The following is a 19,631-nucleotide window of genomic DNA, read 5'->3' on the forward strand; positions in this document are numbered from 1 at the left end:
AGGCTGTAAGTGGCTTTGATGGGTGTGTGCCTGCACAAGCAGAGCGAGCCCAGGCTACAGGAAAGGCAGAGGCACCAGTGTACATTGTGCCACTCCTTTTGAGTCTCAGGCCTCTAGGTTCTCCTGTAATTCAGCATCCACACTGACCCAGAGGGATCTTTTTAAAGGACAGTTTTGGCTTGGCCGCCTCCCTGCTAGAATCCTCCTATGGCCCCACACCTACAGCATAAAATCCAAATCCTTTTGCTCTAATCCAAGCCTTTCATCACCTGGAGCCAGCTGCATCATCTCTAACCACTGGCCCAGGCGGCCAAATTCTGAACCAGGTGCAGCTCTGGACTTCGCATATGCTGTTTTCTGTGCCGGGAAAGTCCCAGCTCTCTCTCTCTCCCTGTGTTATCTGATCTGCCTGCAACACTCAGGTAGACATCACTTCCTTTTAACCACATTATCCCAGCTGCCAAAAATAGGACAGGCTTTGCTGTCAAACCTGGTTTGAATCTCAGTTCCACTAACAGTGGGACCCTGACTAACTCACTTTATCTTTCTAAGCCTCAGTGATTTAAAAATGGGGATAATAGGCCGGGCGCGGTGGCTCACGCGTGTAATCCCAGCACTTTGGGAGGCCGAGGCGGGTGGAACACGAGGTCAAGAGATCGAGACCATCCTGGCTAACACCATGAAGCCCCGTTTCTACCAAAAAATATAAAAAATTAGCCGGGCGTGATGGCACGCGCCTGTGGTGCCACCCCAACCCTGAGGGCCAAGGAGAGAACTCATCCACCAGGAAGGGAGGGGTCAAGAGAAGGGGCCTTGGAGGCCATTTAGAAGGATGGACACTGGACTAAGGGCACAGGTCTGAGTCCTGACCTGCCTAGTGACCTTGGACAGGTCACACGACCTCTCCAGATCTCAGCATTATCTGTAAAATAAGGGCCACATTGGATGACCTCTGAAGGCCCCTTCTTTTGTAACTCCAGGTAATTGTAAGACCCTAGCTTAACTCTGCTTTCCTCCTCCCAGCTTCACGCCATGCAGGCACAGGGGATTCTTTCCAGGATGGCTCCCTGGTCCCAGATGGCTCCTTCTGTGTCCTTGGAACTCATCCTGTTGTTACAGCCAGACCCTGCCCCTGTCTTTTGGTTAACTCCTTCTTGGGAAAACGTCTCAAGTCTTTTTTTTTAGATGGAGTCTCACTCTTGTCGCCCAGACTGGGGTGCAGTGGTATGATCTTGGCTCACTGCAGCCTCCACCTCCTGGGTTCCTGCTATTCTCCTGCCTCAGCCTCCCGAGTAGCTAAGATTACAGGCACATGCCACCACGCCCGGCTAATTTTTGTATTTTTAGTAGAAACAAGGTTTCGCTATGTTGGCCAGGCTGGTCTCGAACTCCTGACCTCAGGTGATCCACCTGCCCTGGCCTCCCAAAGTGCTGGGATTACAGGTGTGAGCCACCACACCCGGACTCAAATCTTATCACCTTTAGTCCAAAAAACTGTAGCAACTTCCGGCTAGTATCCCTCCTGCCTGCTTCCAATTCCACCTTCCACACTGGCAGCCAGAGAGGCTTTTAACATGCAAACATAGTTACACCACTCCTTCATCTGAAACTTCAGGGGTTCCCAAAGGCTCTGCAGTGGTGTGTGTGTGTGTTTTTTTTTAATGTGTGTGTGTGTGTGTGTGTGTGTGTGCAGTGGTTTTCAAAACTTTTTATCTGTTTTGAGCATTAGAATCCTCATCTGACGGAATGTTTCTCAGAGCCCTAAAAATGTCCAACAGTTAAGAAAGATGTTATGCAGACTGAAGAAAAGTGGAAAGCTTGGAACCAGCCTGCTGGGCCTCCCACACTACAGCCTGCAACACACACACAACACACAGCAGCCTCCAAGGCATGGGCACTGAACTGAGGGCTCCACGTACCTTCATAAGAAGCCAGGATAGGCTGGGCACAGTGGCTCACACCTATAATCCCAGCACTTTGCGAGGCAGCGGTAAGCAGATTGCTTGAGCCCAGGATTTTGAGACCAGCCGGGGCAACATGGCAAAACTCTCTGTTTTTAAAAAATTAATTAAAAAAAAAGGAGGCCAGGCATGGTGGCTCACACCTGTAATCCCAGCACTTTGGGAGGCAGAGGTAGGAGAATCACCTGAGGTCAGGAGTTAGAGGCCACCCTGGCCAACATTATAAAACCCCGTCTCTACTAAAAATACAAAAATTAGTCGGATGTAGTGGCGCACCTGTAATCCCAGCTACTTGGGAGGCTGAGACACAAGAATAGCTTGAACCCGGGAGGTGGAGGTTGCAAGAGCCGAGATCGCATCACTTCATTCATTCCAGCCTGGGTGATAGAGTGAGACTCTCTCTCTCTCTCTTTTTTTTTTTTTAGATGGAGTCTCCCTCTGTCGCCCAGTCTGGAGTGCAGTGGTGCAATCTCGGCTCACTACAACCTCCGCCTCCCAGGTTCAAGCAATTCTCCTGCCTCAGCTGCCTGGCTAATTTTTTATATTTTTAGTAGAGACGGTTTCGCCATGTTGGCCAGGCTGATCTTGAACTCCTGACCTCAAGTGATCCACCTGCCTTGGCCTCCCAGAGTGCTGAGATTACAGGCTTGAGCCACTGCGCCCGGTCACCTGGGTCTGTTTTTATTCATCATTGTATCCCTCTGCTTAGGACAGGCATGGGATTATAAATACTTGCTGAGTGAATGAACAAGTCCCTCAATATGCAGATAGGACAAGACTGAGATAGATGACGCCACTTACTTGTCACACTGCAAATCAAGAACTGGGGTCTTTTGATTCTACCTCAGCTCTTTCCATTAAACTTCCCCGATTCCTGTGTTCCCTTCTGTCTTAGTGGAGATCTCAAAACTAATTCTAGATTCCTTGGCTGCCAAGGTCAGTGACTCATCGTACTACTGAAACCCAGCTGGAGGCCCCTTGGTGTTTGGTATCACCAACAGAATATCCTTTATGAGTGTCACCACTGGCATCAGGAGGTTCTGGGGAAAGTGAAACCCTTCAGCATCCTCGTCCTGATGGTTGGCCACAAGAGTGACCTGTTGGTGAGCACTGGGTGACACCACAGGGAAAGAAGCTGGCTGCCTCTTTGGGGCATTGAAACTTCAGCCAAGAGCAACAGTAACATTAGCACAGCCTCTGAGGAGCTCACTCAGTGTATCTGTGAGACTGTGAAGTGGGGGGGACATGGGATCTAACTCAGGGTGGGAGGGAATTTTGAAATGCAGGGTCTCATCCTGGGCCAAGCTTCAGGACGCAGAGGACCAAAGCAAATCAAGGTGGCTGTGCCTGTGCTAGTGACCCTTGGGTAGGACAGCCATCCTCCCTAGAGCCCACAGAACTCTCACAATCCACAAGGGCCATGCTGGGCCCAGGACAGGATGATGCTAGGTGCCACTGAAGGACATGACCCAGAGGTCTGGAAGGCGCCTGGTTTCTTCTGCATGATGGTGAAAACACCAGGATCAAAGATAACAGCAACTAAGAAGAGATGGGCACCTGCACAGACATGCCTATCCTGAGGACAGGGGCCTACTCCCATCCTTTCTCAGGGACAGGGACAAACACAGCTTTCTCCAGGAGTTCCAGAAGAGCAGGTCAAAAAGGGTTTTTAGGCCGGGCGCGGTGGCTCACGCTTGTAATCTCAGCACTTTGGGAGTGCGAGACCTGTCTGACCAACACAGTGAAAACCCCATCTCCACTAAAAATACAAAAATTATCTCGGTGTGGCGGCAGGCGCCTGTAACCCCAGTTACTTGGGAATCTGAGGCAGGAGAATCGCTTAAACCTGGGAGGCTGAGGTGGCAGTGAGCCAAGATCACATCACTGCACTCTAGCCTGGGTGACAGAGCTAGACTCCGTCTCAAAAAAAAAAAAATTAAAAAAAAACAAAAAAAACCAAAAAGGGTTTTTAGGCATATAACATTGCCAAAACAAGGATGCCTCTTCAGTTGAGGGCCGTGAGAGAAGGTCACCCTACTCAATTCTTATGGCCGAGAAGCTGGACTCAAACTCCTGCTGATGTTATGGCCTCCCTTGGGGTAAAATGATGGAAAATCCCTGAGTTTTTCTCAAACACCAAAATGAATAACGATGCTGCCACCTGCTGACTAGAGAGCTACAATCCAGGCTTGCTTGTCCTGACTCCCTCTGGGATTTCAAAGGTACCCTGTCTTTCGATTAATAACTTCTTTATTCTGGAAAAGCAAATGAAAGTCATATTCATATAAACACTGACATTACAAAGTACAGGGAAAAGGGGAAGGGAGAAGGAAACAAAACCCTTTACAAATCCTGCTAATACTGTCTTACCCAAAAAGACCATAATGCTTTGTCCCATATTCAGTCACTTATATAATAAACCACAAATAAAATCTTCTCTGGAAGATACATTGCTCCTCTTTGAGATGGCAGGGAAAAGGGACCGGAAGTTGGGGTAGGAGGCTTTATTCTTTTGGCAGATCCTCTCAGTCATTATAGATATTGCTGCACTGTTAATAAAAAATATATGCTTCTCTGTAAAGCATTAAAAAAAAAAATCCAAGGATGAGATGGCTGAGTTCTCAGCTCAAGTATCTCCAAATACATTGCTGTCCATTCCCTGACCTTTCCGTGTGTTATTTCTTGGTTGTTTTCCGGATCAATGCCATTCTCTGAAAGGAGAGACAAATAAGCAGTTATACAGCAGCAGCTGGAGTCAGGAGCTTTCTGGAACATTCTGTGTGGCTAGCAGGCCTCATGGTCTACACTGTAGGCCGCAGCCCTCAGAGACCTGCAGTCACAAGGCATCTCAGTAGATTCCTTTTAACCAGAGAGCAGTCTGCAAGGCCCCAAGAGATGTTTAGATGGGCTAGTGGACCCATTTCATCCACCAAACTGCTCTAGGCTAGCAGAATGGCAAAAAAGTTAAAAGCAGGAGAAAGTGACAGCTCTTGAGTTTTGGTGACTTAGAGAATAAGCTGGCAAAGCATGTGTTTTCTTTCTTTCTTTTTTTTTTTTTTGAGATGGAATCTCGCTCTGTTGCCCAGGCTGGAGTGCAGTGGCATGATTTCGGCTCACTGCAACCTCTGCCTCCCAAGTTCAAGTGATTCTCCTGCCTCAGCCTCCCCAGTAGCTGGGATTACAGGCACGTGCCACCACGCCTGGCTAATTTTTGTATTTTTAGTAGAGACAGGGTTTCACTACATTGGCCGGGCTGGTGTCAAACTCCTAACCTCAAGTGATCCACCAGGCTCGGCCTCCCAAAGTGCTAGGATTACAGGCATGAGCCACTGCGCCTGGCCAAGCATGTGTTTTCTGGGGTCCCCTGACCCCAATCTTTTCTCCAATGATGGACACAATAGGGAAGGGGCCTCAATTTCAAAGTGTTGCCACACACAAAGGGAGCTGACATTTCACATCTCATGACCTGCATTGAAGGGAAACTGAAGACTAACAACTTCTACCACAGTCCATCATGGAAACACTCAGATCATAGGTTTCATGATCTGAATTCTTTTACTATTACTAGCTACTAGCCAAATTAACAACTTACTTTGTTCATTCTTTTTGACCAAATACCAATATTATGGCATTTGTCGACTAAATAAATAGGGCTGAAAATGGTTAACTTGGGAGCACAAAGTGACAGTCCATTGTTTGCAGGGACTCTCTTCTGAACAGTGCAATCTTTCCATTCAGGAAACTGGTGGCTTCCCTTTAGGGCTTGCTTCGTGAGCTTTACAAACACCGGCTCCAGAGATACCAGGCTATGGCGAAGCAGGGGCACTCAACCAGGACTGCCCAGTTGTGCCTGCTAAGCTTGGAAAAAGCTCACGTTTCAAATCAGAGTAGCCACTTAAGTTAAGACAGAAAGGATAACAGCCTTGTCAGAGGGAGGCCAACACTGCTGTTGGACTGACCAAAGATGGGGATGACTTGCTCCACAGCAGAAGTAGTATTCTCACACTGACTCCTAGGTTCCTTGTTCAGAGGGAACCTTGTTCAAAGGTAAAACCAGGACACAGGCCAGAATGTCCAGCACGGCAGCCTGGATACTACCTCTCAGAACAAGTACAGCACATTTTTGCTTTCTTTAACCTGCCCTCTCTTCATAGGACCATATATGGTGTTGCAATCAGCAACAATGAAGGAAGATTTCATTAAGGAGGTATGGTGGGGCGAGCTGCATCCATATTAGAAGAACCCAGAATCAACAGCTTTAAGTGACACTCAACAGAGTTACGAGAAAAAACAGACCACATGTGGGAACAGCACAGCACCATGTGAATATCTTATTGATCTCCCGGAGACCGCTGCTGCCTCTTGCCCTCTCTGACCCTTGCTCCAGAGAGTGAAGTTTGCTGTGTGGAGGAAGCGAGGCCCCCTAGAAGGTAGCTGTGTGTATCCACTCTGAGACGTAACTCAAGGAATCAGCCCTGGCTGTCCCCAGGGCTCTGGCATTTCCTCACCTGTTTGTGAGCTTCTGTGGTGCAAGCTTTTTTGTAGGGTCGGATTTCTTCAGAGCCAAATCCTGGGATCCACATGTTCCACTGGCGCTCTGCAAGGAAGAAGCCAGCACAGAGATAAACGTACCAAGAAGGCAGTACCAGGAGTGCAATGTGACCCCCTTGGATCAGGGAGGATGAATGTGGGCATCTGGCTACTAACTCCACAAAGGGATTCTATTACAAATAGGGAAAATGGACATGGCTTCTCCAAGGTTTTTTCTTTTTTTTTGGAGACAGGGTCTTCCCACTCTGTCACCCAGAGTGGGGTGCAGTGGCACAATCTTGGCTCACTACAGCCTTGACTACCCCAGCACAAGCGATATTCCCATCCTGGCCTCCCAAGTAGCTGGGACTACAGGCGCATGCCACCATGGCCAGCTAATATTTCTTATTTCTTATATTTCTTTAAGACGGAATTTTGCTCCTGTTGCCCAGGCTGGAGTGCAATGGCGCAATCTCGACTCACTGCAATCTCTCAGGCTTCAACATTGAATATGCCACAGGCTCATTTGCCAGGTTCAAGCAATTCTCCTGCCTCAGCCTCCTGAGTAGCTGGGATTACAGGTGTGTGCCACCATGCCTGGCTTTTTTATTTTTTATTTTTTGGAGATGGAGTCTCACTCTGTTGCCCAAGTTGGAGTGCAGTGGTGCGATCTCGGCTCACTGAAACCTCTGCCACCTGGGTTCAAGCGATTCTCCTGCCTCAGACTCCCGAGTAGCTGGGATTCCAGGCATCTGCCACTGCATCTGGCTAATTTTTGTATTTTTAGTAGAGATGGGGTTTCACCATCTCGGTCAGGCTGGTCTTGAACTCCTGACCTCGTGATCCACCCACCTCGAACTCCCAAAGTTCTAGGATTACAGGCGTGAGACATCGCACCTGGCCTCAGCTAATTTTTTGTATTTTTAGTAGAAACGGGGTTTCACCATGTTAGCCAGGCTGGTCTCAACCTCTTGACCTCAGGTGATCTGCCTGCCTCAGCCTCCCGAAGTGCTGGGATTACAGGCGTGAGCCACTGCGCCTGGCTGTATATTTCTATTTTTTGTAGAGAGGGGGTCTTGTTATGTTGAACTTTTGGGCTCAAGCACATCCTCCTGCCTCAGCCTCCCGAAGTGTTGGTATTACAGGCATCAGTCACCATGCCTGGCTTCCTCCAAGGTTTCTAAAGGACAAAATTCAAGCTTCTTGCAAAGAAAAAGAGGTAATTTAGTCAAAGCTGTGAATGCTGAGACCTAAGGTTTCCATGCAGCTTATCCAATTCACAGAAAATAAATATCATTTATTTCTTTAGTTGTCTTAATCCTAAGGCTCAAAGTAACCCCTCTCACACCTAAGGGACATGAAGGCACTTCAAGCATTCTGGAATTAAGAGCCAAAGCTGAGGTCTGCTGCTTCACTGAGCAGCTGTATGACGCTGGCTCCCAGTTTCTTCATTTTTTATGTAGCTGTAACAACAGTAATAACCACTGACAGGGTGGTTGGGGCATTCAATGACATAAGGCATGTGAAGTATTCAGCCCAGAGCCTAGGGTAAACATATAGGTATGGATATAGAGAGAAGTATGTCCACACCACAGTTCCATGACCTGGTGCCCCTGGATATTATCTTCCTTATAAGGTTATCACAAGAAGTTCCCAGAGGACAGGGACTTTGTTTATTCCTCTTTGACAGTAACTGGCATAGGGGCATGGCCCCCTAAACTCATGTATAAAGGTGTACGTCACTTTTAGCAAATCACAGGCATAAGCCACAACACCTGGCCCAATATTTCTTTGAAAACAGAATGTCTGAAACCTTCTGCTAACAATTTATGTTATTAGTATTTGAAAGTGACACTGGCCAGATGTGGTGGCTCATTCCTGTAATCTCAGCACTTTGGGAGGCCAAGACGGGAAGACTGCTTGAGCCCAGGAGTTCAAGACCAGTGTAGGCATAATAGTGAGACTGCATTGTTACTAGAAATAAAAATATTAGCTGGGCGGGAGTGGTGGGTCACGCCTGTAATCCCAGCACTTCGGGAGGCCAAAGTGGGCGGATCACCTGAAGTCAGGAGCTCAAGACCAGTCTGGCCAACATGGTGAAACCTGGTGTCTACTAAAAATATAAAAAATTAGTCAGGCATGGTGGCAGGTGCCTATAATCCCAGCTACTTGGGAGGCTGAGGCAGGAGAATCACTTGAACCTGGGAGGCAGAGGTTGCAGTGAGCTGAGACGGCACCACTGCACTCTAGCCTAGGTGACAGAGCGAGACTCCATCTCAAAAAGAAAACTTTTTTTTTTAGCTGTATGTGGTGGTGTGCACCTGTAGTCCCAACTACTTGGGAGTCTAAGGCAGGAGGATCACTTGAGCCCAGGAGGTAGAAGATGCAGTGAGCCATAATCACACCACTGCACTGCAGCCTGGGTGAAGAGGAAGATCCTGCCTCAAAAGAAAACAAAAAGGGCCAGGCACGATGATTCACACCTGTAATCCCACCACTTTGGGAGGCTGAGGCGGATGGATCACTTGAGGCCAAGAGTTCAAGATCAGCCTGGACAACATGGTGAAACCTCCTATCTACTAAAAATACAAAAATTAGCCAAGAGTGATGGTGAGTGCCTATAATCCCAGCTACAAGGCACAAGAATCCCTTGAACAGCCGGGCGTGATGGCTCATGCCTGTAATCCGAGCACTTTGGGAGACCAAGGCTGGTGGATCACAAAGTCAGGAGATCAAGACCATCCTGGCTAACACAGTGAAACCCGGTCTCTACTAAAAATACAAAAAAAAAAAAAAAAAAAAATAGCCGGGTGTGGTGGCGGGCGCCTGTAGTCCCAGCTACTCGGGAGGCTGAGGCAGGAGAATGGTGTGAACCTGGGAGGCAGAGCTTGCAGTGAGCCAAGATCGCGCCACTGCACTCCAGCGTGGGCGATAGAGCAAGGCTCCATCTCAAAAAAAAAAGGATCCCTTGAACTCAGGTGGTGGAGGTTGCAGACAAAGGTTATTCTCTACGAATTGAACTTTACAGTCAACAAAAAGTAGATAAAGTGTGCAAAGTCACTTTAAAGAAAGAGAGCAGGCCGGGTGTGGTGGCTCACGGCTGCAATCCCAGCACTTTGGGAGGCCAAGGTAGGCAGATTGCCTGAGCTCAGGAGTTGGAGACCAGCCTGGGCAACACAGTGAAAACCCGTCTCGACTAAAAATACAAAAAATTAGCCAGGCGTGGTGGCGTGTGCCTGTGGTCCCAGCTAATCGGGAGGCTGAAGCAGGAGAATCGCTTGAACCCGGGAGGCAGAGGTTGCAGTGAGCGGAGATTGTGCCACTGCACTCCAGTCTGGGCGACAGACTGAGACTCTGTCTCAAAGTAAATAAATAAATAAATAAAAGACAAAAAATTAGCCAGGCGTGGTGGGAGGGCGCCTACGTAATCCCAGTTACTCCGAAGGCTGAGGCAGGAGAATCACTTGAACCTGGAAGGCAGAGGTTGCAGTGAGCCGAGGTCACACCCTTGCATTCCAGCCTGGGCAAAAAGAGTGAAATTCCGTCTCAAAAATAAATAAAGAAAGAAATAATAAAGACAGTAGCTACCACACATGAATACATACATGTATGTGTGTCTATTTATGTAACTACGTATACCTATATGCGTTATGTGTGTATACATATATCTTATATAATCTTTTTTATTTATTTATTTTTTGAGACTGAGTTTTGCTCTTGTTGCCCAGGCTGGAGTGCAATGGTGTGATCTCGGCTCACTGCAACCTCCGCCTCCTAGGTTCAAGCGATTCTCCTGCCTCAGCCTCCCGAGTAGCTGGGATTACAGGCACATGCCACCACGCCCGGCTAATTTTGTATTTTTAGTAGAGGCAGGGTTTCTCCACGTTGGTCAGGCTGGTCTCGAACTCCTGACCTCAAGGGAAATGCCCGCCTCGGCCTCCCAAAGTGCTGGGATTACAGGCGTGAGCCACCATGCCCGGCCTATATAATCTTAATATAATAGCAACAACAATCATTTAGTGAATGAAATGTAGTAAATGCATGGTCAAAGCAACATTGTGCAAAGCATTCTATGTAAATTATCTCATTTAACTTTAACTTTTTTTTTTCTGAGATGGGCTACTGCTCTGTCGCCCAGGCTGGAGTGCAGTGGTGTGATCTTGGCTCACTGCAACCTCTGCCTCCTGGATTCAAGCGATTTTCGTGCCTCAGCCTCTGGAGTAGCTGGGACTACAGGCGTGCACCACCACGCTCAGCTAATTTTTGTATTTTTGGTAGAGATGGGGTTTCACCGTGTTGGCCAGGCTGGTCTCGAACACCTGACCTCAGGTGACCCGCCCACCTTGGCCTCCCAAAGTGCTGGGATTACAGGCGTGAGCCACCGTGTCTGGCCCCAATTCACATTTGTTATGCAACCATCAGCATCATCCATCTCCAGAACTCCCAAATTGAGGATATCCATCTTCCCAAACTGAAACTCTATATCCATTAAACAACTCCCTGTACCCCCTTCCCCTTAGCCCCTGGTAATCACCATTCTACTTATTCTACTTTCTGTCTCTATGAATTTGTGTTGTGGGGGATTATTTTTTTTTTCTTTTTTTTGGGACGGAGTCTCTGTCACCCAGGCTGGAATGCAGTGGCAAGATCTTGGCTCACTGCGACCTCCACCCCACCAGGTTCAAGTGATTCTCCTGCCTCAGACTCCCGAGTAGCTAGGATTACAGGTACCTGCCACCACACCCAGGTAATTTTTGTATTTCTAGTAGAGACAGGGTTTCACCATCTTGGCCAGGCTGGTCTTGAACTCATGATCCACCTGCCTCGGCCTCACAAAGTGCTCGGATTACAGGCGTGAGCCACTGCGCCTGGCCGATTTGTTTTTTAATTATGTATGTATTTACTTATTTATTTATTTAGAGACAGGGTCTTACTCTGTCACTCAGGCTAGAGTGCAGTGGCATGATAGCTCACTGCAGCCTTGACCTCCCAGGCTCAAGTGATCCTCCTGTCTTAGCTTCCTGAGTAGCTGGGACTACAGGTGCACTCCACCATGCCTGGCTAATTTTTTAAATCTTTTTTAAATCTTTTAAATCTTTTGTAACACAGTGAGGTCTCACTGTGTTAACCAGGCTAGTCTTGAACTCCTGGGCTGAAGCGATCCTCCTGCCTCAGCTTCCCAAAATGCTGGAGTTACAGGTGTGAGCCACCATGCCAGGCCACTAGTGGTGGTTGTAAAACATGTTTATAAATTCCTTTACCCTCCTGCTATCAAGAGGTGGAGTCAGCCGGGCATGGTGGCTCACACCTGTAATCTCAGCACTTAGGGAGGCTGAGCGGGGAGGATCAGGCGGTCAGGAGTTTGAGACCAGCCTGGCCAATATGGTGAAACCCCATCTCTACTAAAAATACAAAAATTAGCTGGGCATGGTGGCGTGTGCCTGTAGTCCCAGCTACTCAGGAGGCTGAGGCAGAAGAATCCCTTGAACCTGGGAGGCGGAGGTTGCAGTGAGCCAAGATTGCGCCACTGCACTCCAGCCTGGGCAACAGAGTGAGACTGTCTCAAAAAAAAAAAAAAAAAAAAAAAAAACACAGGTGGAGTCTGTGTTCCCTCCCCCTGAACCTGGACAGGTTTCTGACTGCCTCAAAGAATAGAATTCACCAGGAGTGATGCTGAAGACTGTGTTAGAAAAGGCCATGAAGTTTTCTGCCAGGTGCTCATGGGATGTTAGTTCTGGGAGCCTTTAGCTGCTTAGCTGCCACATAAGAAGTCTAGCTATCCTGGGACTGCTAAAGGATGAGACCATATAGAGAGACGGTGGGTGGGGAAGATGGGAAGGGTAGGATTGGGGAATGTGAAGCAGAATGGGAGGGTTGGGAGGGACGGAGGGAGACGCCTGCAGAATCCCACCTTTTTCAGTGTTCTTAGACCAGGCATCAGACACGGAAGATATGAAGCCTTCCGTTATGGGTTATTTAAAAGTGTCCCTAAAAAAGATATGTTGCGGTCTTAACCTTAAGTACCTCCAGAATATGATCCTATTTGGAAATAGGGATGTTGCAGATGAAATTGGTTAAAATGAGATCATATTGGAGTAGGGTTAGCCCTTAATCCAATATGACTGGTGTCCTATGAGAAGAAAAGAAGAGACACAGAGACAGAGACACAGAGGGAAAAGGCCACGTAAAGACCGTGGCAAAGCCTGGATTTCTGTAGCTACAAGCCACAGAACACCAAGGATTGCCAGCCACCACCAGAGGCTAGAAGGAGGCAAGAATAGATTCTTCCCTAGGGGCAGCAGAGGAAGCATGACCCTGCTGACACTTAGATTTCAGGTTTCTGGCCTGCAGAACTGTGAGAGAAAATTTTTTGTTGTTTTAAGCTGCCAAGTTTATGGTATTTTGTTAAGGTAGCCCTAGGAAACTAGTATGCCTTCCTTCAAGACAATCTCAGGCCCAGCCACTGCCTGACTTAGTAAAACTAGCTGAGCCCAGTCAACCCCCAGATTCATGAATCAAATCAACAACTGTTATTGTGCTAAACCACTGTTTTTGGGGTGGTCTGCTACACATTAATGGATAACCAAAATATCTGTTCTTTTCTCTAGATACCAGCAACATTACCTGAAGTGTGTTATTTACTTTACCTAGACTACCAATGCCTCCCCAAGGCAACAGCTTCTTGACACTGTGAAGAAAGTCTTTCAATAATTAGTCATGGGCTGATCTGCACCGAATCTCATTCATTTGGCCTGTCTCTATAGTTATAGACTGGGCTGGGCATGGTGGCTCATGACTGTAATCCCAGCACTTTGGGAGGCCAAGGCAGGTGGATCAACAGAGGCCAGGAGTACAAGACCAGGCTGACCAACATGATGAAACCCTATCTCTACTGAAAATACAAAAATTAGCCAGGTGTGGTGGTGCAGGCCTGTAGTCCCAGCTACTTAGGAGGCTGAGGCAGGAGAATCGCTTGAACCCAGGAGGTAGAGGTTGCTGAGATGGCATCACTGCACTCTAACCTGGGTGACAGTGAGACTCGATCAAAAAAATATATATATATATATTTATATATATAAAGTATTATACATAAAGTATATACAAATATATATAAAAATTATATATAAATATATATAAATTATATATAAATATATATACACACATAAATATATACATATATATACATATATATAACACATAGTTATAGACTGATCTCTTTCTTTTAATCACATCGTATCCAATGCAGAGGGCTGCTTATTCATTTCCAAGTGATTATGGTCATCACTGTTAGCTGAGTATCTCCCAGAAAAACTCAAACTCAAATTTAGTGTCTGTTAAGTAGAAAAGGAGACTATAAAATTGTATGTATATTACGATTATAAACTTTGGAAAAAATGCATAAATAGGCTAAAACTCTAAGGGAACACTGAGGAACAGTTTTATTTGCATGGTGAAGACATAACAGTACCTACATTGACTAGATCCTACTTTGTGCAGGCCCTGTGCCAGTCACTTTACAGACATGGTCTATAATTCTCACGATTATTCTGTAAGGAGGATATTATGATCCTCACTTTACAAATGAGGAAACAGACTCTAAGAGATACTAGGTAGGAAAAATAGGCTGATACAACTAGAAAGTGGCAGAATCTGGTTTCAAACCCATGCCTGGGCTCATTCTCCCTACCACAGATGGATTTCTCTTTTCTATTTGGTGCTGTTATTGAATTAATACATAAATCCCAGTGCCCAAAAGTCTGGTTCTGGCATGAAGGTTCCTCTGACTACACTTTCCCTGGCAGTCCTGAAGAAGCAGTTGAATCCATACTTCAGGGAGAAACAAGACCACATACCTAAATGCAGCTGGACATCTTTCACCTCCAGGGTGCTAGACTTGCGATGCCGCGCAAGCTGACAGGCTGCTGTCACCACACTCTCGATAAAATCATCAGCAATCTGCAGCAGCATCTGGGGAAGGTAAAGTGGGAAGAGTCAGCACGACATTGGCAGGGTAGGCTCCTGTTGCTGGGACAACTGCTTTCAGCTTGGATTGCATATTTAGTCAGGCATTCTAGTAGAAGGCTGGAATCAGCATTTGGGCTAAGGTGGGGAAGAGGAATGAGAAGGACAAAAGAAATGTTACCCAGGTTGAGTGCAACTCACACCTTTCTGAGCATATACTTTCTACCCAGCAGTGATCAACTATCCCAATCCCTACCCTCCATATCTTTATTTATTAGTGGGAAAATAAAAGTGAATCATTTCAATTCCTCACTCACAGTATCTTAAAAGCACTTTTGTTTCCATTATCTCACTTAGTCCTTACAATAATCCTGTGAAGAAAATGGGACATGGATTTTATTCATTCCATAGAGGATTTCACAGACTCAGAGAGACTAATTTGTTCATGGCCATGTAAGTAGAAAGCAGAAGGCCAGGTACAATGGCTCATGCCTGTAATCTCAGCACTTTGGGAAGCCGAGTTGGGAGGATCACTTGAGGTCAGAAGTTCGAGACCAGCCCAACAATATTGCAAGAGCCCCATCTGTATTTAAAAATAAATAGGCCGGGCGTGGTGGCTCACGCCTGTAACCCCAGCACTTTGGGAGGCTGAGGCAGGTGAATCACGAGGTCAAGAGATTGAGACCATCCTGGCCAACATGGTGAAACCCTGTCTCTACTAAAAATACAAAAATTAGCTGGGCGTGGTGGCACGTGCCTGTAGTCCCAGCTACTTGGGAGGCTGGGGCAGGAGAATTACCTGAACCTGGGAGGCGGAGGTTGCAGTGAGCTAAGATCGTGACACTGTACTCCAGCCTGGCGACAGAGCGAGACTCTGTCTCAAAACAAAAAACCAATAATTAAAAAAATAATAACAAATAAATAGAGGCCAGGCATGGTGGCTCACACCTATAATCCCAGAACTTTGGGAGGCTGAGGTGGGCAGATCATTTGAGGTCAGGAGTTTGAGACCAGCCTGACCAACATGGTGAAACCCAGTCTCTAAGGGCCAGGCACAGTGGCTCATGCCTATAATCCCAGCACTTTGGAAGGCCAAGGCAGGTGGATCAACTGAAGTCAGGAATTTGAGACCAGCCTGACCAACATGGTAAAACCCTGCCTCTACTAAAAATACAAAATTAGCTGGGCATGGTGGCAGGCATCTGTAATCCCAGCTACTCTGGAGGTTGAGGCAGGAGAATCGCTGAAGCCGGGGCAGCAGAGGTTGCAGTGAGCCGAGACTGAACCACTGCACTCCAGCCTGGGTGACAGGGCGAGACAAAAAAAAAAAAAAGCAAGCAAGCAGAGGAACCAGGATGCCACCTCAAGCGTTCTGAGTCTAAATCTTGAGTTCTTTCCACATCACTATCAATTATTATTGGACTGTGTGAAGAGAAGGATGAGAATTCTGAAGATAAAAATCTACGAGGCCAGGAGCAGTGGCTCACTCCTATAATCCCACCACTTCGGGAGGCCGAGGCAGATGGTTTGATTGAGCTCTGGAGTTCGAGACTAGCCTGGGCAACATGGATGGCAAAACCCTGTCTCTACAAAACATACAGAAATTAGCTGGGCTTGGTGGCATGCACTTGTAGTCCCAGTTACTTGGGAGGCTGAAGTGGGACGCCTGCTTGAGTCCAGTTAGTCGAGACTACAGTGAGCTGTGATCATGGCACGGCACTCCAGCCTAGGTGACAGACACCTTGTCTCAAAAATAAATAAATAAATAAATATATATATATGCACGCACATGAAAAAACTGAGATTTTTATCAGTCAATATAGTCCCCATGGCAGCTTCTGCTGACAAACAAAAACAAACTAAAATTACAACCATAGATACAAAATTCCTTGTTCTGGTGGACCATTAACTCATTGTCATCTTTACTGTGGGAACCAAATGGACACCATCTTAGAGAAAGATTTCAGATTAAACAGCAGATCAACTCTAAAAATAACCTCCTGTCCCTCCCTAATCCCATTAAAATAAGTTAAAAAAATATTGCCAGGTGCAGTGGCTCATGCCTGTAATCCCAGCACTTTGGGAGGCCGAAGTGGGTGGATGACCTGAGGTCAGGAGTTCGAGACTAGCTTGACCAATATGGTGAAACCCCGTCTCTACTAAAATTACAAAAATTAGCCAGGTGTGGTGGCGTGTGCCTGTAGTCCCAGCTTCTCAGGAGGCTGATGCAGGAGAATCACTTGAACCCGGGAGGTGGAGGTTGCAGTGAGCCAAGATCATGCCGCTGCACTCCAGCCTGGTCAACAGAGCGAGACTCCGTCTCAAAAAAAAAAAAAAAAAAAAAAAAAAAAAAAAAAGAAGCTAAGGGATAAATCCTCAAGATAGGAGACTGGAATTTTCTCCGGAGATATTGAATGATTCCAGAGAAAAGACTTACAGATACTGACATTTAGGGAATCTTCCATTAGGAAGGTTGACTTGTGGACAAATTACTCTGAAGTAAAGTCTTGTGGTCTGCTAGAGTGAACCGAGACCAGCTCATAAAAGCCAACTGTGTACCTCTTTTCCCAAGTTTGTATTTAGTGATGTCATGTTGGTAGAAATAGTTACACCACAGAAATAATAAAGCACTGCAAATCGGGCATTTTTCTCCAAAGAGCTAGTTGTTAAACATTTACCCATATATTACTGGGCCAAATCCATCAATTATACTTCAAATCAGCTTTTCAGTGAGTGATTCTTTAAGAATGAATAGCCAGGGTCGGGCATAGTGGCTCAGACCTATAATCCCAGCACTGTGGGAGGCTGAGGTGGACAGATCACTTGAGGTCAGAAGTTTGAGACCAGCCTGGCCAACATGGTAAAACTTTGTTACTACTAAAAATACGAAATTAGTCAGGTATGGTGGTGTGCACCTGTAATCCCAGCTACTCGGGAGGCTGAGGTGGAAGAATCACTTGAACCTGGGAGATGGAGTTTGCAGTGAGCCGATATCGCACCACTGCACTCCAGCCTGGGCAGCTGAGCAAGATTCTGTCTCAAAAAAAAAAAAAAAAGAAAAGAAAAAGAAAAACAGTAAGGAAAGTTATATGGACCAGCAGGCGTGATAGCTCATGCCTGTAATCCCAGCACTTTGGGAGGCCGAGGTGGGTGAATCACCTGAGGTCAGGAGTCCGAGACCAGCCTGGCCAACATGGCAAAACCCCATCTCTACTAAAAAATACAAAAATTAGCCAGGTGTGGTGGCACATGCCTATAATCCCAGCTACTTGGGAGGCTGAGGCAGGAGAATCACTTGAACCCCCGGGATGCAGAGGTTGCGGTAAGCTGAGATCCTGCCACTATACTCCAGCCTGGGCAACAGAGCAAGACTGTCTCAAAAAAATAAATAAATAAATAAATAAAAGTTATATGGCACACATTGAGTAGTGTAAAAAATTCTCATCTACCATAATAGGGAATCAACAGAATCTTATAAAATTGGCCAGGCACGGTGACTCACACCTGTAATCCCAGAACTTTGGGAGGCCAAGGCAGGTGGATCACCTAAGGTCAGGAGTTTGAGACCAGCCTGACTGACATGGAGAAACCCCATCTCTACTAAAAATACAAAAATTAGCCAGGTGTGGTGGTGCATGCCTATAATCCCAGCTACTCAGGAGGCTGAGGCAGGAGAATCGCTTGAACCCAGGAGGCGGAGGTTGCGGTGAGCCAAGATCGCGCCATTGCACTCCAGCGTGGGCATCAACAGCGAAACTCCGTCTCAAAAAAAAAAGAATATTATAAAATTAATGGGTCAAAGAGTATCTTTTTAAGTATATTACTTAGAAATATAGAAGAATGTTACAGAAACAGCTAAAATTGTTGAAAGTGATTGCCTGTGAGCAACAGACTATGCCGTTTTTAACAGGCAAAAGTAGCAGCAGTTATTGGGTATAAAGCAAATTCAGATTTGTCTGTGCTCTTATTTTATTTATTTATTGCAGTGGTACAATCTTGGCTTACTGCAACCTCGGCCTTCTGGGTTTAAGAACACTTCAACCTCCCTAGTAGCTGGAACTACAGGTACACACCACCACGCTCAGCTAATTTTTTTTCTTTTTTTTTTTTTGAGATGGAGTCTTGCTCTGTCGCCTAGGCTGGAGTGCAGTGGCATGGTCTCGGCTCACTGCACTCCGCCTCCCAGGTTCACTTCATTCTCCTGCCTCAGCCTCCCGAGTAGCTGGGACTACAGGCGCCCGCCACCATGCCCGGCTAATTTTGTTTTTTGTATTTTTAGTAGAGACGGGGTTTCACTGTGTTAGCCAGGATGGTCTTGATCTCCTGACCTTGTGATCCGCCCACCTCGACCTCCCAAAGTGCTGGGATTACAGGAGTGAGCCACCACACCTGGCACTCAGCTAATTGTTTAATTTTTTGCAGAGACAAGGTCTCATTATATGGCCTAGGCTGGTCTTGAACCTCTGGGTTCCAGCAATCCTCCTGCTTTGGTCTCTCAAAAGGCATGAGCCACTGCATCTGGCCTGTTTGTGCTCTTAACCACTATGCTATACCGGTTCTCAGGGACCAGTTTCTGGGGTACCCAACCCCACCTTACCTCCTCCACATCTTCATCCAACTGCTCATTAGGATCCACTTCTCTTACTAAGTCCTGTAATTTCTTCTTGGTCAATACCTAAAGTTAATTGGAAGAAGACTTTTCAACCAGATATTAAGGAAATGAAACAAATCATTACCCTGTAATGAAGAAAGGCTGTCAAATTGTTGGTTTTAGTTTCCACTTTCCAATGAGTTCACAGTCTGGCCTACCTGACTATGCTGCTGTAAGACTACACTCTCAAGACAGAAGTAACTTAGGGAAAGGTGGAAAGAGCAGTTTGAAGACAGGCCAGCATCCAGCTGTCAGGCAGTATATTTCAGCCTCATGTCTTTTTCTCACTGTGTCTCTTCACATGTAGAAATTTGCAATTCTCTGACCACCACAAATTGTACCATGCCCCTTGCCTTTAGACAAGTTTGTTTTTTTGTTTTGTTTTGTTTTTGAGACAGGGTCTTGCTCTATTGCCCACTGGAGTGCAGTGGCATGATCATGGCTTACTGTAGCCTTGACTGCCAAGCTCTCCCACCTAAGCTTCCCAGCTAGCTGGGACCATAGGCACGTGCCATCATACCTGGCTA

The 19,631-nt window shown here is 46.6% G+C and overlaps 1 protein-coding gene across 5 annotated transcripts in view, besides 2 other annotated features; it reads right to left on the minus strand.

Annotated features, from left to right (window-relative positions):
* Positions 171-752: an enhancer, noted in NCBI's record as "H3K27ac-H3K4me1 hESC enhancer chr1:28925585-28926166 (GRCh37/hg19 assembly coordinates)". NCBI's record gives its function as "activates a minimal SCP1, AML or CMV promoter by ChIP-STARR-seq in naive H9 embryonic stem cells {active_cell/tissue: H9 hESC(naive)}" and the evidence as "EXISTENCE:reporter gene assay evidence [ECO:0000049][PMID:30033119]".
* Positions 3,537-4,037: an enhancer, noted in NCBI's record as "H3K27ac hESC enhancer chr1:28928951-28929451 (GRCh37/hg19 assembly coordinates)". NCBI's record gives its function as "activates a minimal SCP1, AML or CMV promoter by ChIP-STARR-seq in naive H9 embryonic stem cells {active_cell/tissue: H9 hESC(naive)}" and the evidence as "EXISTENCE:reporter gene assay evidence [ECO:0000049][PMID:30033119]".
* Positions 3,948-19,631, minus strand: part of TAF12 (TATA-box binding protein associated factor 12) — a 45,420-nt gene continuing 29,736 nt past the window's right edge. For 4 of the 5 annotated variants that reach the window (XM_017002186.2, NM_005644.4, XM_024449368.2 and 1 more), the window contains exons 3-6: positions 19,051-19,128; positions 14,345-14,459; positions 6,470-6,558; positions 3,948-4,672 (exon numbers count right to left, since the gene is read on the minus strand). In XM_017002186.2, the coding sequence (XP_016857675.2) occupies positions 4,637-4,672; positions 6,470-6,558; positions 14,345-14,459; positions 19,051-19,128 (318 nt within the window). In that variant the 3' untranslated portion in view covers positions 3,948-4,636. The remainder of the gene's footprint in view (positions 4,673-6,469; positions 6,559-14,344; positions 14,460-19,050; positions 19,129-19,631) is intronic. The other variant, NM_001410769.1, reaches the window with a different exon arrangement.

The sequence above is a fragment of the Homo sapiens genome, chromosome 1, assembly GCF_000001405.40.
Source record: "Homo sapiens chromosome 1, GRCh38.p14 Primary Assembly".
NCBI classification, from domain to species: domain Eukaryota; kingdom Metazoa; phylum Chordata; class Mammalia; order Primates; family Hominidae; genus Homo; species Homo sapiens.